Raw genomic sequence first — 22,606 nt, 5'->3', positions numbered from 1 at the left:
GTTTTAAAGGAAATTTTCTTCAACGGAAAGTCAGTGCCAAAACAGCAAGCTGTGGTGTGGATTCAATAATTCTAATGTTTTTGTCTTAACTGATTATTACAACGCATTGTAACAGTTATAGAAGCACCTACGGAGACTTACAGACATAATGGAAGGAATGGTAATTGGAGCGTCAAGAAAGAGTTCGTGGTCGATCTCACTGGACTGCATTTTTAAAGATTAATAGGAGTTCCCAGGCAGAAAATTTACGAAAGAGCGTTTCAAGCAATGCTGACCACATATGCAAAGCCAAAGTAAAGATATCTGCATTGCTAGAATGAAAAGTTTCAAGGGGGGACTAAAAAGAGATGAAGCTGGAAGAGGTGCATAGGGGCCAGGTTGTTAACAGCTGTGGTGCTATCTTTTCTTTTTTCTTCTTTTTTCTTTCTTTCTTTCTTTTTTTTTTTTTTTTTTTTTTTGAGACTGGCTCTGTCTAACAGGCTGGAGTGGCGCAATCTCGGATCACTGCAACTTCCGCCTCCTGGGTTCAAACGATTCTCCTGCCTCAGCCTCATGAGTAGCCGGGACTACAGGCGCACATCATCACGCCCGGCTAATTTTTTTTTGTATTTTTTTAGTAGAGACGGGGTTTCACCATGTTGGCCAGGCTGGTCTTGAACTCCCGACCTCAAGTGATCAGCCCGCCTCGGCTGCCCAAAGTGCTGGGATTACAGGCGTGAGCCACCGCGCCTGGCCTGTCATGCTATCTTTTCAGGAAATAAAAGAAAAAAAAATCTTGAACACCTATGCTAGGTGCTAGGAGATAAAACAAGGAACGCAGACCTGCTCCCTGTGTCTTGAAACTTAAAATCTTGCACGGATGGAAGAATGAGATGGAGAAAAAAGAAAACCTAAAACACGTGAACTAATAAAAAAATTAAACATTGTATTAACTGTAGGAAGAAAACAAACCAGTTACCCAGATTAATTACGCTTTGGGAACAAATGCGGTTCACAGGAGTGCCAAAGATTTAACTGTAACCTGTTACGAGAACTGAGTACTGGACATTTTCAGATCAGTAATGGCACATTATATATACGTAGATGTTAACTTTTACCAAAGCGCAAAAAAGCAATCAAGGAGTACCCACTGCCTCCTCGCATCGATAGAAAAAGCCCATCTGCAAGTGAAGTGCCAAGCCACCACGAGCCCGTTAGCTTTTACGCATGTACAGTGAGTCATCTTGAAGTAAACGGGAATGCCATGTTTATCTTCCTCTCAACCAGCTTCCAGAACGACTTTTAGCTCAGTTGTACAACAGACAGCCTTACCTTTTAGTCTTTCAACAAACTTATCTCATTTAAGGTACCTATACCCACACAAAAACACTTTCCGCCCTCCACATCCCGCTCTTAAGGCTCCAGCTACCTTTAATATGGCGGAGGCCGAGCCTGCGCATTAGAAGCAGAGAAGGCAAATACCAGTTTCTGGAATAACGTTACATGCCCTTCTTCCGGTGCGGAAGACTATACCACTCCCATACCCTATAACTTTGTTTGTTCTATTTCACACATATAATTTTCCGAGACAAGATGTTCTCATTTAAGCAACAAGAAGATTCGTCTCTCGCTATTACTGTAACTGCTGTTTATATCGTCATGTCCCGGAAAGGTCCCTGTCTTCCCTGAATGGTCTCTACCAACTTCACCTCCGGTTCTAGGTGTCATGGCTGCCCCAAGAGTCTAGGTAAGAGTTTGTTCCCGTGGTGCGGAGGGTCAAGGCCCACACCCGGAAACCTAGCGAGGTAAAGTTGCGTCTTGGTTGTAGAGACGACAACTTCTCCGCTTCCTCGGCGATGGCGGCGTCCGGGAGCGGTATGGCCCAGAAAACCTGGGAACTGGCCAACAACATGCAGGAAGCTCAGAGTATCGATGAAATCTACAAATACGACAAGAAACAGCAGCAAGAAATCCTGGCGGCGAAGCCCTGGACTAAGGAGTGAGGAGGTCCCTGGCGAGACGCAGGGGAGGGAAAGGGTGGCGGAGTTTAAGAGACCCAGAGGGAGAGGGAGGTGAAAGGGGTGAAGAGCTTTCACCGACTGGGAGGGGGACAGAATATGCGTCTTGGATCTGCAAGTAGAGCCTAAGCCCTCCGCTGGGGCTTTCACTCCCCTTTCTGTCGCTTTAATCCATTTGCCCCCGGGTGATGTAAGGGGAGAACAACAAGCGGTGATTTAAGTTGTCACTTCTGAACATCCGTATTGTCATATATGCCACACACCCTACCTTGAGCCCAGTGTCGACATGCACCTTGTTTGGGTCTTCAACTAATCCCAAACTGGGGATTGCAGCTGTTTTCAGAAATCGAGTCAGCAGCCCAAGGTCTCAAAAATAGCTATGAGCTATTTTCTTTTCTTTTTTTTTTAATAGAAATGGGTCCTCGCTGTGTTGCTCAGGCTGATCTCGAGCTTCTGCCTTCAAGCGATCCTCCCGCCTTCGCCTTCCAAAGTGCTGGGATTACAGGCGTGAGGCCTGGGCCTATAATAGTTTTTTGATTGCTGGTAATTATTTCGGAGGCACACGGAGGCTCTACTACCTGGTCTCTAAAATGTTACTCCACCAGTTCCCATAAGCCAGAAATTATAAAAATAGAGCTTAAGACCTTTTGCCCTTCAACAATATCCATTTTTCCCTGGGAGTGGTGACAAGTCGAGGGATCTTTACCCATAATATTTATCTTTTCCTGAGAGCATCTCCTGAGAGATTTCCTGCTATCAGGAAAAGATAATTATTACGGGTTATGTTTGAGAGTAAAAAGAGCACGAAAGCTAATGGTTAGATAGAAAGGAAAGCTGTGGTCAACAAGAGGACATACTTCTACTGCCTCACAGTTTTTTTTACAAGGCTAGCCTTGTCTCTCAGTATTCAGATTCCACAATGGTGAACTGCGGAAGCACCTAGCTAGAGATTTCCACGTCATTTAATTTTCATGACAACCCAGTACAGTATATCCATCCTTTTGTTACAAATTAAAAAACAAGCAAATACGTTATGTAATTTATGATCATACTGACATAAGTGAACTCTCAACTGAGCAATAGTCAGACCTAAGATCAAATCTCACAGCTGTCACTAACTAGTTGATTGACCTTAGGAAATTTACTTATCCATCTTCATTTGTCATAATATGGAAATAAGACCTACTTATTGGTATTGTCATAGAGATTAGGTGAGATAATGTATAAAAAGAGTCGTCTAGAATGTATGTAATAGGAGCACAGTAACTTGTCTTTCTTCTTTTCTCCAGTAAAGGGAGAAGCCAAGATTTCGATTCATGTCTTGACTTCCAACATGAGGTCTACACATTTTTCAGCTTTTGGTTGAAATCTGGCAAAGCTTAGGAATTAAATTTGGATTCTTTCTGTGGGCAGACATCTAAAAAGGCTTTGTAGAGACGTTGACTGACTGCTCTGTAAGGCTGCTTAAGTTGCTTGGTTATCTGCTTGCTTCTGTAACAGGCTGTGCATTTTAGGTTCGTGTACTCTTAAATATTTGGAAACTGTTGGCCTGCCTCACTGTCTAATTGTGGCTCTAATTATATTCATCCTAGCTGTCTTGGGCTGCATTAATGAGACCAAAATGTAATTTTATTCAAGAGTTTAATTCACTGATGACCAACTCTGAAATAGTGATCATAGGAGACTAGGATATTAGGGCTACTTTTTAATTTAAGGCTGATATAACAGGGAAGCCCACCCTTCAACACTCTGTTCTTTGAGAGTAGGGTTAAGAGACAGGTTAATAATGCTGATAACAGCTAGCACTTATTAGGGTTCTAGTATGTGTAAGGCACTAAGCACTTTATATACATTATTTCATTTATTTCATCCTAACAACAATTATGAATATCCCTATTTACAGAAAAGGAAACCTAGGCACAGATATTACAGGGTTGTCCCAATACCACAGCTAGGGAATGGCAATGTCAAGATTCAGACCTTAGCAGATGAATGTCAGAACCCACATTCTTAACCATTAGGCCAGAAGGTTAGGCCTCAGAACAGTTAGGCACAACCATCCAAGCAGTCAGAATCCAAGATTGGGTGATTCCAAATTAATGGAGAAAAAGTCTGTTGAACTGGTCATGTTACTCCCTTATTTGAATAGCATATTAAAAAAGTATTTCAGACTTTTCCCCTCCCCTAAGGGGGATACGTTGCTGCACTATGACATACTTATTGTTTCCAGCCTGCAAAAACTGTCCTTTTTTACTTTTTCTCCCCGTAGTCTACACTCCCTTTCCATCGCTCTAAATTCCTTCAATACTTACTCTTTATCTTCATAAAAACTTTTCTGAAATTTTACTTTATATAAGGAATTTAATTACATTGTGATTTTGTTTTGCAGTCACCATTACTTTAAGTACTGCAAAATCTCAGCATTGGCTCTGCTGAAGATGGTGATGCATGCCAGATCGGGAGGCAACTTGGAAGTGATGGGTCTGATGCTAGGAAAGGTGGATGGTGAAACCATGATCATTATGGACAGTTTTGCTTTGCCTGTGGAGGGCACTGAAACCCGAGTAAATGCTCAGGCTGCTGCATATGAATACATGGCTGCATACATAGAAAATGCAAAACAGGTAAAAATGTTGTTTCTTATAGTTTAGTAATTGCAAGTTAGAGTCTCAAGGTGACTTTTGAGTTTCTAAACTTAAAATTATCCCCTTTACATGAAATTTTATATTTAAATTTTAATGATTTATATGTAAAATGTACGAGATTAAAAGCCTGATAAGACTTATAGCATGGTTTTTTTTGTTTTTTGTTGTTGTTGTTTTTTTTTTTTCGAGACAGGGACTCACTCTGTTGCCCAGGCTGGAGTGCAGTGGCGTGATCTCAGCTCACTGCAACCTCCATCTCCTGGGCTGAAGCAATTCTCCCTCCTCAGCCTCCTGAGTAGCTGGGACTACAGGCGTGCACCAGTAGGCCTGGATAATTTTTCTATTTTTAGTAGAGACGGGTTTTCTCTGTGTTGGCCTGGCTGGTCCCAAACTCCTGTCCTCAGGTGATCCACCACCTCAGCCTCCCAAAGTGCTGGGATTACAGGCATGAGCCACTGCACCCGGTCTATGGCATGGATTTTATTTTTTTTTTAAATAAACTCTCACACTTATTATCAGATACGTGTTTAAAATAAAAAATTTGGAAACAACCTAACTCAGTTCCTGAGTATAAAACTGGCTAAATAAATTATGGTATATCCATCAGTGGACTGCCAGGCAGCCTTTAAAAGAAAAAAAAATAAAAAGATAACCATCATATATATTGATGATTTATATGAAGCAAACTCCAAAGCAGTTTATTGAGTGAAAAAACAAAGTGTAAAACATTATTATGTTATGTGGTATGCTATTGTGTGTGTTTTTATCAATCTATGTATGTGCAAAGAATATGTATTCTGTATACAAAGAATATCTCTGTAAGGGTAAGCAATTGCCCATAGATTTCGCATCTGGGCTGAGAAAAGTGGGTAATTGAGGAGAAGGAGATGGGAAGGAGACTGGTTACCCTTATTGTACTGGTACCTTGTAAATTAATTAAAGAGTAATCTTAAACTTTTTTGCCCCTTCATTTGTTAGGTTGGCCGCCTTGAAAATGCAATCGGGTGGTATCATAGCCACCCTGGCTATGGCTGCTGGCTTTCTGGGATTGATGTTAGTACTCAGATGCTCAATCAGCAGTTCCAGGAACCATTTGTAGCAGTGGTGGTAAGAATTTTAAAACCAGTTTAATTAAGTTCTTTATGAAGATTTGCTGAAGCAAGTATACTGAGAAATAAGAATAGTGTAGTAAAGAGAAATTGCTCTGGTATCAGTCTGCCTAGGTTTCAATGTGAATTCCATCTCTTAGAAGCTGGGACTTTGAGCAAATTATTTAACCACTGTGTATCTTGCTTCTCCCCTCTGTAAATTGTGGGTAGTCATAGCATCTATGTCTCAGTGCCAGCTCATCATAGGCATTCAATCAGTGTTGACTGAACTGAGTTAAGCAGGAATTGCTAGAGCAGCTCTTATTATGTTCAGGGTGTTTTAAGTGCAATCCAGGTTTTATGAGGAAGGTAGGAGTTATTCACCTCTTAAAAGGACAAAAGAAAACTTTTTAAAAATAGATGAGCAAACCTTCAAATAATATTCTTAAATGTTATAATAATTTGAATCTCTAAGTTAGCTGTGAGACACTTATATTACCCTCTTACTGAACTTTTATGGTTTTTTGGTTTATTCTTATTTGGTTATTATGTATGTATATAGTGTTATATGTATGTATACATTTCTAGGTTTATAATGTTTAAATAAAAGGCATACAGTTTTATATCAGCAGATATTAAATATATCTTTCTTATAGATTGATCCAACAAGAACAATATCCGCAGGGAAAGTGAATCTTGGCGCCTTTAGGACATACCCAAAGGTAACTTTTTTTTTTTTTAAGAGTTAGAGTCTCACTGTGTTACCTAGGCTGGAGTACAGTGGCTATTCACAGGCATGATCATAGTGTACTACAGCCTTCATCGCCTAGGCTCAAGCCAACTCAGCCTCCCAAGTAGCTGGGACGGTAGGAATGCTTAGTAATTTTTAAAATTATAAGTCCTTACATTTTTTAAATTCCAAATATTTGACTTATTATTAAAGACATTAGCAATATCTCTTGTTATTAAAACAATTCAATAATATTTACAAAATAGTAAACTACCACAAGCTGTCCCTAGCAAAGGGTAATACATTTATGTTATATATTGTTAATTTTACTGGAAAAGCAGTCTTTATTTATTAATAAGTATCTGTGTGCCTGTGGCATTCTGCCAGGTACTAGAGAAAAAACAAGCTAAATCTATAGGTCTATTTCCTTCCCTGGCAGGAGGCCGCAATCTGAAATAGTTATTAGAACAAAAGTACATCACCTAAGGAGAAGAAAAATAAATCTGTAAGCAAAATCCAGCCTACAGCCACCAAACTGGGTGGGGGGAAAGTAGAAACAGTATTTTTTTTTTATTAGAATGCTCATGTTAAATATTTGCCTCCGAAAGTTAATAATCCTATTATTAGAAAGCTCCATAGAAAACATGTTTTTCTCATTTTTATATATATATATATATATATATATATATATATATATATATATATATATATATATATATTTTTTTTTTTTTTTTTCTTAATCTTCTGTTTACCTCATTTTTGTTTAGGGCTACAAACCTCCTGATGAAGGACCTTCTGAGTACCAGACTATTCCACTTAATAAAATAGAAGATTTTGGTGTACACTGCAAACAGTAAGTAATTTAAAAACATATCTGGGCCAGGCACGGTGACTCACACCTATAATCCCAGCACTTTGGGAAGCCACAGTGAGAGGATTGCTTGAGGACAGGAATTCGACACTAGCCTGGGCAACATAGTGAGACCCCATCTCTACAAAAAATGTTATAAAAGTTAGCCAGATGAAGTGGCACAGTCCTGTAGTCCCAGCACTCAGGAGGCCTAAAGAAACCTTAGATATCAACCAGTCCAAGCCCCTTATTTTACAGATGAGACAAAAGGCATAGACAAAATGCATTTCATGATAGCTTTTACAATAATAGTATATGAATTTAGGTAAATGTTTGCATTTTTAAATTTTTTTCTTTTGCATTTTTTATTAATGTTTCAAACTAGCATGTCATTTGCCTTTTAAACAACCTAAACTTTTTCTAATGTACAAGATATTTGGCCTACATAAAATTATAACAAGTGAAAGATGGGTTCAGGACCAGCTGACACTAGCATGTCTGCAGCCCTCAAAATATATAATTTCTACTGAACAAAGATTCTTTCTAATCTTTGAAAGATTTGAAAGACTAAAGAAGCCATATTAAAAAGTCAAAGTTATAAAAGTGTAAGAATTCTTACTAAAAACCACTGTATTACATACCCTCCCCCCACCCCCAAGACATAGTCTTGCTCTGTTGCCCAGGCTGGAGTGCAGTGGCGTGATCTTGGCTCACTGCAACCTCCGCCTCCTAGGTTCAAGCAATTCTCCTGCCTCAGCCTCCCAAGTAGCTGGGATTATAGGTGTGTGCCACCACACCTAGCTAATTTTTGTATTTTTAGTAGAGACAGGGTTTCACCGTGTTGGCCAGGCTGGTCTCAAACTCCTGACCTCGTGATCCACCCGCCTCGGCCTCCCAAAGTGCTGGGATTACAGGTGTGAGCCACTGTGCCCGGCCTACGTACCTTTTTTGATGGTGAATTTTATGATGTATGAATTATATCTTAAATTATTTTAATGTTAAAGAAGCCAATGGGGACAGTTTTCTCTACCTTCTAAATATATCTCACCACCTCTTTTACTATCCTTTTCACCCAAGCCACTGCCATCTGGAGCCCCAATCAAGCACTTGCCTTCCGGCGAGTCTTTCTACTTGTGCCCTTCACTTCTTAAAGCTCTGTTTTCAGCCAGACTGATTCTGTTAAGATGTAAGCCGGATAATCCTCTTCCTTTTCAGAATGACTTCCCATCTTACCAAGAACAAGATCCTTAGTCCTTATCACAGACTGCACACCTCTGTGTGGTCTGGCTCCTACAGCCTCTGTGAGCTCATGTCCTATCACTGAACTTCTGCTGGTCTGCAATCCAGCCATATTGACTTCCTTATGGTTTGTAAAATGTGCCAGCAGGCTCATGGCTCAGAGCACTGGCACTTGCTGTTCCCTCTGCCTAGAACGCTCTTATTTCCATGTGGCTCACTAACTGCTTTAAGCATTGAGTATCTGTTTACAGGGTCGTGCTAACAGAAAATGTTCATTAGTTCATTAGGCATGATCATGGTGTAGTATTTTACCTATGTAAAGTAACACCTCTGTTTCCTCTTTCCCCGCTTTTTCTTCTTAGCACTGTAACCATCTGATATGTTTTGACATCTTTTTTTTGACCCCTTTAGAATGTGAACACAAATTTACTGCTGTATCCTTGGATTTAAAACAGGGCATGCCACATAGAAGAGGGCACCAAAAAAAATTGCTGCTTAAATGAATAAATGATTATCTACTGCCCTCTTTTTCTGTACCACTTATGCCAACTTCAAAGAATACTTTGGCTACCCATGTGCTACTACTGCTCTAATTTTTCTATTTAGAAGTTCTTAGAAAATTCTAGAATTTCTAAAATTAAATTCTTAAATATATGTGGTTTTCAATAATCTCTGACATATTTCTGTAAATACAATTCTCTTTTCTTCCTTTTTTTTGGTTCCTGTTTTTTTATTTCAGATGGAGTCTCACTAGGTTGCCCAGGGACTACAGGCACACCACTGTGCCCAGCTATAGAAACAAATATATATTCAGATAGAAGTTTAGTGTTAATTATTTAATTTGCCCTATTAAAAAGAATTTAAATGATTCCTGTTTGAGAGAATTGCTCCTAAGCCTGGAAATACCTTTGCTGTGATACTTTAATCTTCAGAGGAACTCTCAATTTTTTTTATTTATATTGAGTTGTATCAAAGGTTTATACTTCAAAACAAAAAAAGATTGAGACAGTTTATGTTTTCCGTATTCAAACAGATCTACTTTCCCTGTTTGTCTATTCCGTTAGTTTATCCTTCTGTCTTCCTTAAATAACTTTTTTTTTTAAGATCGTGTTGCGTACCAATCCTTAAATAACTTTCTTTTGGCAAACACCTTACCTTGCCACTCTGAAATATGAGCCTACCAAAGAGGGATAGCTACTTTGCTAGCGGCCTACATTGCTAAAGACTAGAATTTTGAACCTGGAATTGCTAAAATGTTCTTTTTTTTTTTTTTTTTTTAAATGGAGTCTTGCTCTGTCACCCAGGCTGGAGTGCAGTGGTGTGATCTCGGCTCACTGCAAGCTCTGCCTCCCAGGTTCACGCCATTATCCTGCCTCACCCTCCCGAGTAGCTGGAACTACAGGCGCCCACCATCATGCTCGACTAATTTTTTGTATTTTTAGTAGAGATGGGGTTTCACCGTCTTAGCCAGGATGGTCTCAATCTCATGACCTCGTGATCTGCCCGCCTCAGCCTCCCAAAGTGCTGGGATTACAGGCGTGAGCCACCGTGCCCGGCCCAAAAATGTTCTTTGTGTGTGTGTGTGATGGAGTCTCACTCTGTCACCCAGGCTGGAGTACAGTGGTGCCATCTCGGCTCACTGCAACCTCCGCCTCCCAGGTTCAAGCGATTCTCCTGCCTCAGCCTCCCGAGTAGCTGGGATTACAAGCACACACCACCACACCCAGCTAATTTTTGTATTTTTAGTAGAGACAGGGTTTCACCATGTTGGCCATGCTGGTCTCGAACTCCTGACCTCAGGTGATCCACCTGCCTCAGCCTCCCAAAGTGCTGGGATTATAGGCGTGAGCCAACACGCCCAGCATGATGTGTTTAATTTATTATGTTTTATTTCCTCACGCTAAACTTTAATCCGTAAGCATTTTTGCACTTTGGGAGTCTGAGGCGGTGGATCACTTGAGGTCAGGAGTTCGAGACCAGCCTGGACAACATGGTGAAACCCTGTCTCTGCTAAAAATACAAAAAATTAGCTGGGCATGGTGGTGGGCGCCTGTAATCCCAGCTACTCGGGAGGCTATGGCAGAACGATCACTTGAACCTGGGAGGCAAACGTTGCAGTGAGCCCAGATAGCACAACTGCACTCCAGCCTAAGTGACAGAGTGAGATTGCGGCTCAGAAAAAGCATTCTGTTTTTAAAAGGGTGCCTATGTGTCTTTATCTTTCGCACCACTAACCTCTGAGTCTGAACCTCTGTCTCTTCTCATCTTCCCTGCTGCAGTGGCTTCCTTTGTGGAATCCCTGCCTCCAGTTTCTCTCCTGTAATATCTCCTAATGGTACTATAAAACACCCCTTTGACTGTATTATTACTCTACTCAAGTACCTTCCATTCTACTCAAGCACCTTCCAAGAGTCCCGGGTATCTACAGGATAAAGTTTAAATTTCTTTTTTTTTTTTTTTTTAAGACAGAGTCTTGCTCTTGTTGCCCAGGCTGGAGTGCAGTGGCGCGATCTCGGCTCACTTCAACCTCTGCCTCCCGGGTTCAAGCGATTCTTCTGCCTCCGTCTCCCAAAGTTTGGCCGAGCACTGTGGCTCCCAGCACTTTGGGACGCCAAGGCGGGCAGATCACCTGAGGTTGGGAGTTCAAGACCAGCCTGACCAACATTGTGAAACCCCATCTCTACCAAAAATACAAAAATTAGCTGGGCATGGTGGAGGGAGCCTGTAGTCCCAGCTACTCGGGAGGCTGAGGCAGGAGAATCGCTTGAACCCGGGAAGCAGAGGTTGTGGTGAGCTGAGATTGTGCCATTGCACTCCAGCCTGGGTGACCAAGCAAGACTCTGTCTCAAAAAAAAAAAAAAAATTCTTAACCTTTTGTGTAACATCCTTCACCACCTAGACCCCAGCATAGCTTTCTAGCTTCCCCTCACATAATTCTTCTCTTGCTAAATTTTCCAGCTAAACCCATTGCCTTATTATCTCTTACATGTCTTTCCTTTTTGTGTGTTGATGCTCTCTGCCTAATGCCCTCCTTGCTCTCCACATATCCATACCATAGACTCAAAAATGTTTACCCTACACCTTGCCTTTTCCCTGAGGCTTCTCAGGCAGTTCTAGCTTGAGCTCCTCTATATGAAGAATACTTATTATCTCTAACCCTTAGTTGGTAGGTGATTCATTTTATATAGCACTGTAGCATCACTTATTGTTATTCAATGTATATCATTATATTTAATTTTGATGTGGGTTTAGACCACATCCCCCATATAAATGTTGAGTTCCTTAAGGTAAAGATGTCTCATGCTTTTTTATATCCACTGATACACAGAAGCATGTGTAAGTTTAAGATGTAAGTTTACATCTTAAAAATATATGTATTTTTCAGACATTTAACTAGATTTTTCCTTACTATGCCCTGATGATAAATTAGGCACCTTTGAAAGTGGGAGCAATTATTTTAGATGCCTTAAGGACCTACCTTAAAATTTGCTTTTCAAAAAGCAGTAGGTCCTAACTGGGGAATTAGGAAGGGAAGAATGGAATCCACATGTCATTTTTATTATTTTAAAGAGGCTAACAAAAATTATAGTTGACCCTAGAGAGGCAGCTTATTAAGTTTATGTGCTGTTGGCTTGAATTTATGAACTCAGTAACAGGAATAAACTTGTCATTCAGAAGTTTTGACTGGTTGTTAATAACATTTGGGGAATTTCTGGGCTCTACAGAAAAAAAGGAATAAAACAAGAAGTTTAGTAGGAGATTTGGATCCACAACCCTTGAAGTGTGAGGAAACCATGGTTAGCTATTGCCTTATTGGAATAAAGACTAAAATGTGAATATTTGAGAATAAAGTGTAACTCACTTAAATCTGGCCATAAGTTTTATGTGACGTAGTTGAATTTTTTTTTTTACTTACTAAATTTTATGCTTTTATTTCATAGATATTATGCCTTAGAAGTCTCATATTTCAAATCCTCTTTGGATCGCAAATTGCTTGAGCTGTTGTGGAATAAATACTGGGTGAATACGTTGAGTTCTTCTAGCTTGCTTACTGTAAGTACTATACTTGTAAAGAATGCATTTGAATTTTATCTAAGCTTCATAGCCGTTTAATATCTGAAACACTGTTTCACAGAAAGGCTATACCTGACTTGGCCAAGACACCAGGGCTAGGGTGGGATTCTGCACCACCACAGCTGGATTAGGATTCTAGGCCAATTCAGGATCTGTGTCATGACCCACAGAGACCAAGTCTAAGTAGCAAACAGAGTGTCCAGATCAGGGTGAGATCTGCCCCTGCCATAAGGAGATTTATGGATTAAAAAAATACACATATTGATTTTTGTGTATCAAGTGTCTCAGCTTGGACTCTGGTTACAAGTAACAGGATACCTAATGAAACGAGCTTAAACAAGAAAGGGAATTGTGTAAGTTGCAAAGTTGAGGAATAGGGCTTAACTCAGGCACAGCTAAGTTTGCATTCAACCAATATTATGAGGTCTTTTTTTTTTTTTTCTTTCTCTTAGCATTGATTTCATCTTAGTTAACGCTAGTTTCAGGCTTCATGTGAAAGCAAGACGGCAGCTTTAGCTTTAGACCTCCAAGTCTCTCAGCTTCATGTTCAAAAAGAAGGTCAAGATACACACACACACACACACACACACACACTCTCACACTCACATATTTCCAGGTCAAGATACACACACACACACACACACACACACTCACACTCACATATTTCCGGGCAAAACTTCATTGTGTCTGACTGGCTTTACTTAATCACATGCCCATGTTTAGGCCTGGTGTGGGCCAACTGAATAAGCTTGATGAGCGGCTTGCGCCACGGCAAGTGCTTTACTGCTGAGCCGCAGCGTAGAAAACTCCTTCAGGAGCTCAAGGACTAAAAATGGGGAGGAGAGGTTCCCAGAGTGAATCAGAAGAGCATTACTTTAAAGCAGTAGATACTAGGAGAAAAAAAAAGAGGCCGGGCGCGGTGGCTTACGCCTGTAATCCCAGCACTTTGGGAGGCCGAGGCGGGCGGATCATGAGGTCAGGAGATCGAGACCATCCTGGCTAACACGGTGAAACCCCGTCTCTACTAAAAATACAAAAAATTAGCCGGGCGAGGTGGTGGGCGCCTGTAGTCCCAGCTGCGCGGGAGGCTGAGGCAGGAGAATGGCATGAGCCCCGGGGGGCAGAGCCTGCAGTGAGCCGAGATCGCGCTACTGCACTCCAGCCTAGGTGAAAGAGTGAGACTCCGTCTCAAAAAAAAAAAAAAAAAGAGAGTATCACTGAATTTTTTCTGATAATATCATAAAAACTTAACATATTTGGTAGGATATTATTTAACAAACTTCTCTATATTTAGAACTTAGGAACAATTTTTTTATTTTTCTAAAAAAGTAGGCCATTTCATATACTGCAGTATATATAGTGGTTAGAACCACAGGATTTAGAATTAAATAAACTGGGTTTGGAGAATATGAGCTACAGCAGCAGGAGTCATAGCAGGACCGGCACTTAGAAGTTTCTTATGCTCTTTGATGGAGTATTGGTTGAAAGGAGTACAGCTGAAACTGTAACCAAAGGAGGCATTACGCTTCCAGAAAAATCTCAAGGTAAAGCATTGCAAGCAACAGTAGTTGTTGGATTGAGCTTTCAAGGAAAAGGTGGATTCAACCAGTTAATGTGAAAGTTAGAGATAAAGAATTATTCTCCCAGAATATGGAGGCACAAAAGTAAAGAACTACTTTGCAACTCTTCAGGTTTATTCAGTTGACCTGGAAGGCCAAGGATTTTTTTTTTTTCTTTTTCTTTTCGAGACAGGGTCTCTGTCTCTGTTGTCCAGGGTATTGTGGTGGCACGATCTCAGCTCACTGCAGCCTCAACTTCCCAGGCTTGAGCGATCCTTCTGCCTCAGCCTCCCAAGTAGCTGGGACTACAAGGGTGAGCCACCACACCTGGCTAATTTTTGTATCTTTTTGTGGAGACAGGGTTTTGCCACGTTGCCCAAGCTGGCGTTGAACTCCTGGGTTTGAGCAATCTGCCCGCCTTGGCCTCCCAAAGTGCCATTACAGGCCGTGAGCCACCATGCCCAGCCAGATTATTTCTTATTTAGAGATGCTGACATTCTTAGAAAGTATGTAGACTGAAGTAAATCACTATTGAAATGCCATCAACATGAAGCTGCTCATTGCACTTAAGTTCTGAAATATTTAATTATGTAAATAATTGCCATGTCTCTTCTATAATAAACAAATGATATCTATACTAAAAAATAAAACTGACTTTGAAAACAACTCTGCCACTTTACTAGTTCTGAATGACTTTCAGAAAGTTATTTAATGTGACTAAGCATTTCTTTGTTGTAAAATGTTGATATGCTACATACATCATTAAGTACTCTGAGAAAATTAAATGGGCTACTTTATATAAAGCAATTAGCAAAGTGTCTGGCATATAATAAAGCCTCAATTAATGATTTTTTTTAATTTGGTGCATTATATTCATGGGAAAAGACCTCACTTAAGCCTATTATTTACTGGAATTTTTTTTTTTTTTTTTTTTGAGATGGAGTCTCACTCTGTCACCCCGGCTGGAGTGCAGTGGTGCAATCTCAGCTCACTGCAACCTCCACCCCTCCAGGTTTAAGCAGTTATCTGCCTCAGCCTCCGGAGTAGCTGGGATTACAGGTGCGTGCCACCACGCCCGGCTAATTTTTTGTATTTTTAGTAGAGATGGGGTTTCACCATCTTGGCCAGGCTGGTCTTGAACTCCTGACCTCGTGATCCACCCGCCTCAGCCTCCCAAAGTGCTGGGATTACAGGCGTGAGCCACCGCGCCCGGCTGGAATTTTTTTTAGGCTAGTCAAGTGAAGCAGTGTATTTACTGTTATTTTAAATACAACTCTGACAAGCTTTCTGTTCTTTTTTTCCTTTTTTCCTTTTATTTTATTTTATATTTTATTTTATTATTTTATTTTACTTTATTTATTTTATTATTTTATTTTATTTTGAGACAGGGTCTCACTCTGTTGCCCAGGCTGAAGTGCAGTGGTGCAATCACATCTCACTATAGCCTGGACCTCCTGGACTCAGGTGATTTTCCCACCTCGGCCTCCTGACTACAGGATGTACACCACCATGCCTGACTAATTTTTTATATTTTTTCATAGAGACAGGGTTTTGCCATGTTGTCCAGGCTGGTCTGGAGCTTCTGGGCACAAGCCTTCTGCCCACCTTGGCCTCCCAAAGTGCTGGGATTACAGGCATGAGCCACGGCGCCCAGTATCTGTTCTTATTTCTTATCCTTAGTAGTCAGAAGTAGCAAATTAGGATGGAGAATGATCATAATAGCAAATATGTGTTACATGCTTCCTATGTGCCAGAAACTGCTAAGTGTTTTATATGTGTTGTTTCCTTAGAGGCAAGTATATTAATAGCAGCCAGAAGTGACACCTGATGGCAAGGGGAGAAAACACTGTTAAGACCAGAACAGTCTGAACCTTTGTATGAGGCAAGCAGATCTACCTACTCAGCCCAATGTCTGTCCCTGTATTCCAGCACTGCATACATGAGGACATTAATAATCAAGAAAAGGTTAAATTACATTTCTCCCTTGTTGTTTTATGTATAGTACATTGCAGCATTTTAAGAACAAATATGTAGATATATGTTCAACTTCTCTCTTCCCCCAGCTAAGGACGTTAATTATAGCATGTAACCTAAGTTATTTTCAAATTTAAGAAATTAGTTTAGTATATTCATTTTCTGCACATTTGAAATGTAATTGGATATCTTTTATTGTCATTTTAATAGTATAACTATTTCTGGTAGCCTATATTTTTATGGCTTAAATAGCTCTATAAACTTTAGGGTTTTTTCCAAGTCTGTGGGAGGAAAATACATTGGCTTCCTAAACCATTTAGATCCAGACCAAATGAATATAATTGCATCTTTTAAAAAATATTAAGTTTGTAAAAATCATTGGAAGAACTGGTAGCATTTTAAAGAGCCCCCTATAGTAAGCTGTGATGGCAGCAAATAACTTTTCTTGTTTGGTGACTGACTGTCTTTCCTTGCAAACTGAGCAAATAGAACGACATACTACTTTTTGCCAACTAGTTTATTTCCTCTTCATACTCTTCTATTGAAGATCTAGGAAAGAAATATAATGTATACTTAATAACTTTGTGAAATTTTTTTTGTGTTTTAGACTGCAATTAAAAAGTGATACCCCATAAAAATATTGGTAAAATATGTAATATTATAGTTTCTCAAATGTAGATATACATGTGAGCATATAGCAATGCTCTTTAGTTGCAGTTATAGCTAAGTGAAGAGATTATAGATGTGTTTGTTTACTTCTTTATATTGCTCTACATTTTCCAAATATTTTTGTATAATTATTAATTTTGTAACCAGAAAAGTGTTTGTTTTTTTTTTTTTTTTTTTTTTTTGGAGACAGAGTTTTGCTCTTGTTGCCCAGGCTGGAGTACAATGGCGCAATCTCGGCTCACTGCAACCTCCGCCTCCTGGGTTCAAGCGATTCTCCTGCCTCAGCCTCCCGAGTAGCTGGGATTATAGGCTCCTGCCACCACGCCCGGCTAATTTTTTTGTATTTTTAGTAGAGATAGGGTTTCATCTTGTTAGCCAGGCTGGTCTCGAACTCCTGACCTCAGGTGATCCAACTGCCTCAGCCTCTCAAAATGCTGGGATTACAGGCATGAGCCACCGCGCCCGACCCAGAAAAGCTTTTAAAATGTTATTTTTATAAATATTGTCATAAGTACTAATTCTGAAAGTTCCACAAAAACAATAGCAAAATTAGCTAATATTACTAAGCCTTTACTAGGTGTCATGAACAGTCCCAAAAACTTTATATGCATTACTTCATTTAACTTTCACAGTAGCTCTAAGGTAGGAATTATCGACTCCCTTACCATTTTCAGAAGAAAACCTGGAGGCATACCTCAGGCCTTCAACTAATATGCCATAGTTCCAGAACCTGGACTTAGGTCTGTATACTTCAAAGCCTGCCATAATAACAAATAATTAGATTTAAGCAGTCAAGGAGAAAAATTCCAAGTAATCTTGAAATTATAAAAGGGAAAACATCTATCTACACTTGAACTGCCTGAATTTGGAAGCAGATTTGCAAATGTAATTTGACTTCTCTCCTCACTGACTATTCACTCAGATTTTACAGTGGAATTCTTTGCAAATGAAATATTCTTTGTAGAAAATTAGTTTACATTAAAATATACAGATTTTTAAATGGTAGACTTGTGTTTTGCAGTGACACAATACCACTTTCCCCACAGAATGCAGACTATACCACTGGTCAGGTCTTTGATTTGTCTGAAAAGTTAGAGCAGTCAGAAGCCCAGCTGGGACGAGGGAGTTTCATGTTGGGTTTAGAAACGCATGACCGAAAATCAGAAGACAAACTTGCCAAAGCTACAAGAGACAGGTAAGAGTAAATCTATAAGATTCCTGTTGCCCCTAACTCTTTTTCTTTCAAAATTTGCAAACAATAGTAGTATTCAGATTCCTTATGGCTCAAGTTAGTTACAACTTAGAATGGTACCTGAATATTAACTTCTTGGAAACTTTAGGAGTTGTCAGACACAAGTTTTAACTTTGAAAATTTAGGATACCTCAGGTAAGAACATGAAAAGGCTTAAATCAAAGTTCTAAGCAGTGTTACGGAACACTCCCAGTCACCTTTTCTAGGTTCAACTAGAAAGTGTGACAAAAGCAGCCCTTAAGTGGATCTTTAAAGTGTGTGTGTGTGTATGTGTGTGTAACTAGGATTTCTTTTTTTTTTTGAGACAGAATCTCGCTCTGTCACCCAGGCTGGAGTGCAATGGCATGATCTTGGCTCACTGCAACCTCCGCCTACCGGGTTCAAGCGATTCTCCCGCCTCAGCCTCCCAAGTAACTGGGAATATAGGCACCTGCCATCATGCCTGACTAATTTTTTTGTATTTTTTGTAGAGATGGGGTTTCACCATGTTGACCAGGCTGGTCTTGAACTCCTGACCTCAGGTGATCTGCCCACCTGGGCCTCCCAAAGTGCTGGGATTACAGGCATGAACCACCGCACCCGGCCAAAATTAGGATTTCTTAAATTTACAAGATGTTAATATTCAATAAAGCTTTAAATCCTAAGATATTACAGAAGTGATTGTCTCTCTCTTAAATTGTGCTTCTAAAACAGTAATTTAGTATCCCAAATTTTACTACCAAAGATTTTATTAGGAACAAATTTGGGATGTGTTCTTTAATAACTTACGAAATAATTATGTGGACCTTCAGATATATAGGCTATACAAAGTTGCAAAGATTAATAACATTTACTTTCACAGAAATTTGAATTTTAGGCCGGGCACAGTGGTTCACACCTGTAATCCCAGCACTTTGGGAGGCCAAGGCAGGCAGATCACCTGAGATCAGGAGTTCAAGACCAGCCTGGCCAACATGGTGAAACCCCATCTTTACTAAAAATACAAAAATTAACCGGGCGTGGTGGCGGGCACCTGTAATCCCAGCTATTCAGGAGGCTGAGGCAGAAGCATCACCTCCACCCAGGAGGTGGAGATTGCAGTGAGCCAAGATGGCGCCATTGCACTCCAGCCTGGCCAACAAGAGCGAAACTCTGTCTCCAAAAAAAAAAAAGAAAGAAAAGAAATTTGAATTGTAATGCAATAATTAGAGGCAGAAAGGAAGGAAGAAACATATTGACTTCTATAAACATTTATATGTTGGTATCTATTTTAAGAACTGGTTTGGTTTATAGGGAAAAGAAGAGAAAAGAGTAGCTAAAGTGTATCCTGGGATTGGAGGTCATTTTGGGTTAGCCTTATTTCACTGCCATCTTCTCAGTGGGTTTTTAGAAGGTAGAGCTAGTGGCCTGCATAAAAGTTGCGTTTTTCGGCTGGGCATGGTGACGCATGCTTATAATCCCAGCCCTTTGGGAGGCCAAGGCAGGCATATTGCTTGAGCTCAAGAGTTTGAAACCAGCCTGGGCAACATGGCAAAACCCCATCTCTGCAAAAATTTAAAAAAAAAATTAGCTGGGCATGGTGGCGCAGATCTGTGGTTCCAGCTACTTAGGAGGCTGAGGCACAAGAATCACTGGAGCCTAGGAGGCAGAGGTTGCAGTGACCCATGATTGTGCCACTGCACTCCAGCCTGGGTGACAGAGTGAGACTCTGTCTCCAAAAAAAAGTATTTTTCGTTGGCATCAGGAGTCATTTTAGATACTTGCTTTGAGTGTGTGTTTTGTTCATCTGTCTTTATGTATGTCATTTATCAGTTTATCTACATTTATTAATTATGAAGCAAAAATTTTACTATGGCAATGTCTTCAATTATATAAGAAATAGAACAGAAGTAGTAATCAAAAGTAGAGAATTTTCCTTTTTGGGGTAGCTTTACAAGAATTGCATCTCTTCTGAGTATTGGTGGGGTTTTGTCATTTCTTTTGCCTTATACTTTTTATCATTTCTAAAATCTAAGGCCTTCACCCGCTAACCTAAGTTTGACTTCTGATTGTTGGAGGATGCTTGTGATTATTTCAGAAAAAAGCATAGTATTCTTTAAAATTATTTGTCAAATTATCCTAAGTAATAAACAAGGAATAACAGATTTTAATATAATATAATATTAGAATCAATCTCTAATTACAGGTTTGTATAATTTTACTCACCTTCTAAAACAGAACAATTGTATCAAATTTTACGTTGTCATTCTCTTGTGAAAGTTCTAGTAAGTAATGAAATGGTCAAAAAGACATGGGGAAGACTAATAAAATCACAAGGGAAAACTTCAGATTGGGGTGGTTTGAGAAGTATGAATAAAACTAAACTCATTGGAGTTACATGGATGGATTGGGGCTGATCTTGTGTGTTTGAAATAGTTTTCAATTTATGACATCATGTGATGTGTGTTTTTTTTTCCAGCTGTAAAACTACCATAGAAGCTATCCATGGATTGATGTCTCAGGTTATTAAGGATAAACTGTTTAATCAAATTAACATCTCTTAAACAGTCTCTGAGAAGTACTTTACCTGAAAGACAGTATGAGAAAAATATTCAAGTAACACTTTAAAACCAGTTACCCAAAATCTGATTAGAAGTATAAGGTGCTCTGAAGTGTCCTAAATATTAATATCCTGTAATAAAGCTCTTTAAAATGAAATTGTCCTTTGATTTTTTTGTGGGAAGATTCGCAATATTTTTCTAGTATCCATTACGGTTCTTGAATATGAGAGAAAATATATTTATTAGAACTTTCTATTTTTAAGTTTAGACTATCTAAATTAGTCAATTTCAGCATTTCACTTGCCATACTGATTGTCAGAACCACTTTTCAATTTGTCCCTTCTTTTGACTGTCTGTAAGTAAAATATAATTTAACAGTTCATTATTTTAATAATGTATTAGGAACACTTTTAATGTTCCTACAAAACATTAGCTGAGTAGTACCATAAATTATTTTCCTGAAAATCAAATACTTATTAGAGACAGCCTAGCACAGGGTATCTAGTCCTTCAAATATTCATCACATACCTTTCCTGAGCTGGTGACTGTTACTCTCTGGAAATATGCTGAACAAGCTAGACATGGCCACTGTCCTCACAGAACTTCTGGAGGCTAAAGCTTAATTAACAAGAACTTAAAGATACTGCTGTGAGGGGAGAAATAAAGTGTGTTGGGGACTCATGGGGAGGAATGCATGTCCTCAAGAGGGGTTAGCAAAGTTGGCTTCCTGAAGGATGTGGCCTGACCATTAAGTTGAAACATGAAAGGATTAGCCAGAAGAGAGTAACAGGGAGGTGGTTACTATTACAGGCAGGGAGTACAGCAGTGTGTAGAAGCTCAGAGGTAGAAAGCAAGAACCTAGAACCTTCAAGGAAATGAGATTCAGTTAGACTTAAGATTGGTAAGTAGGGCCAAGCATGGTGGCTCACGCCTGTAACCCCAGCACTTTGGGAGGCTGAGGCAGGAGAATTGCTTGAGCTCAGCAGTTCGAGACCAGCCTGGGGTAACATGGCAAAACGCCATCTCTACTAAAAGTACAAAAAAATACCCAGGTGTGGTAGTGCGCGCCTGTGGTCCCAACTACTTGGGAGGCTGAGGTGGGAGGATCGCTTGAGCCAGTGGCAGGGGGTTGGGGGTGCAGTGAGCCGTGATCGCACCACTGTACTCTAGCCTGGGTGACAGAGTGAGACCCTGTCTGAAAAAAAATATATATGTGTGTGTGTGTGTGTGTGTGTGTGTGTGTGTGTGTGTGTGTGTGTGTGTGTGTATGTGTATGTGTATATATATGTATATATGTCAGTAGGACTTGGGGAGTGACAAGATGACTTCAGAGGTAGGACCAGGGTAGATCCTGCGGTGGCATTCTGGAGTTTATCCTAACAGCATTAGGGAGTTAGAGAGTTTTAAACAGAGCAAAAATGTACTAGATTGTGTTTTCTAAGAGCTTCCTGTTGAGAGATTTGGCAGTAAAGCCTAGATGACAGCAAATGAGATAACCCTTGGAGAATAAAGAATGAGAAGAGGGCCCAAGACTGAATCATGGAAACATCAGATATTTAAAATGGGCAGAGGAAGAGGAGACCACAGGAGCCAAGGAGTAAGAAACCTTTAAAAAGGAACTTACGGCAGGGCATGGTGGCATGGCCCATAATACCAGCATTTTGGAAGGCTGAGGCGGCAGGGTCACTTGAGCCCAGCAGTTTGAGACCAGCCCGGGCAACATAGCAAAACCATCTCTACAAAAAAATACAAAAATTAACCAGGCGTGGTGGCATGCACCTGTGGTCCCAGCTACTTGGGAGGCTGAAGTGGGAGGATCACCTGAGCCCAGGAAGTTGAGGTGGCAGTGAGCCATGATTGCGCCACTGCACTCCAGCCTGGGGAACAGAGTGAGACCCTGTCTCTAAATTAAATAAGTAAATAGGAACTTACCAGTGACTTCACATGGTACAAAAGGTCAAGGAAAAGAAAACATGAGTTTTGTTAGATTTAGCAATGAGGCAGATTTTT

The 22,606-nt window shown here is 40.0% G+C and overlaps 1 protein-coding gene across 1 annotated transcript, besides 2 other annotated features; it reads left to right on the top strand.

Moving 5' to 3' along the window:
• Positions 1,493–1,762: an enhancer, noted in NCBI's record as "active region_27495". NCBI's record gives its function as "activates an Ori minimal core promoter by ATAC-STARR-seq in GM12878 lymphoblastoid cells {active_cell/tissue: GM12878}" and the evidence as "EXISTENCE:reporter gene assay evidence [ECO:0000049][PMID:35858748]".
• COPS5 (COP9 signalosome subunit 5) lies at positions 1,699–20,753 on the top strand. The gene is made up of 8 exons (NM_006837.3): positions 1,699–1,978; positions 4,387–4,621; positions 5,621–5,749; positions 6,387–6,452; positions 7,228–7,313; positions 12,491–12,602; positions 17,872–18,020; positions 20,515–20,753. Exons 1-8 carry the CDS (start codon positions 1,836–1,838, stop codon positions 20,597–20,599), a joined length of 1,005 nt encoding a protein of 334 aa, NP_006828.2. The 5' UTR covers positions 1,699–1,835; the 3' UTR covers positions 20,600–20,753.
• Positions 1,943–2,032: an enhancer, noted in NCBI's record as "active region_27494". NCBI's record gives its function as "activates an Ori minimal core promoter by ATAC-STARR-seq in GM12878 lymphoblastoid cells {active_cell/tissue: GM12878}" and the evidence as "EXISTENCE:reporter gene assay evidence [ECO:0000049][PMID:35858748]".
• Positions 20,754–22,606: the final 1,853 nt, after the last annotated feature.

Source organism: Homo sapiens, chromosome 8, assembly GCF_000001405.40.
Source record: "Homo sapiens chromosome 8, GRCh38.p14 Primary Assembly".
Classification (NCBI taxonomy): domain Eukaryota; kingdom Metazoa; phylum Chordata; class Mammalia; order Primates; family Hominidae; genus Homo; species Homo sapiens.
Note: the sequence above shows the minus strand (reverse complement) of the source record. Positions and strands in the feature narration are given on the sequence as shown.

Bases quoted from the DNA above. Each gene is read 5' to 3' on its own strand.
- COPS5 (NM_006837.3), top strand. From the start codon at position 1,836: ATGGCGGCGTCCGGGAGCGGTATGGCCCAGAAAACCTGGGAACTGGCC. The intron at 1,979-4,386 runs GTGAGGAGGTCC...TTTGTTTTGCAG, and splicing joins GCGAAGCCCTGGACTAAGGA to TCACCATTACTTTAAGTACT. The intron at 4,622-5,620 runs GTAAAAATGTTG...TTCATTTGTTAG, and splicing joins ACATAGAAAATGCAAAACAG to GTTGGCCGCCTTGAAAATGC.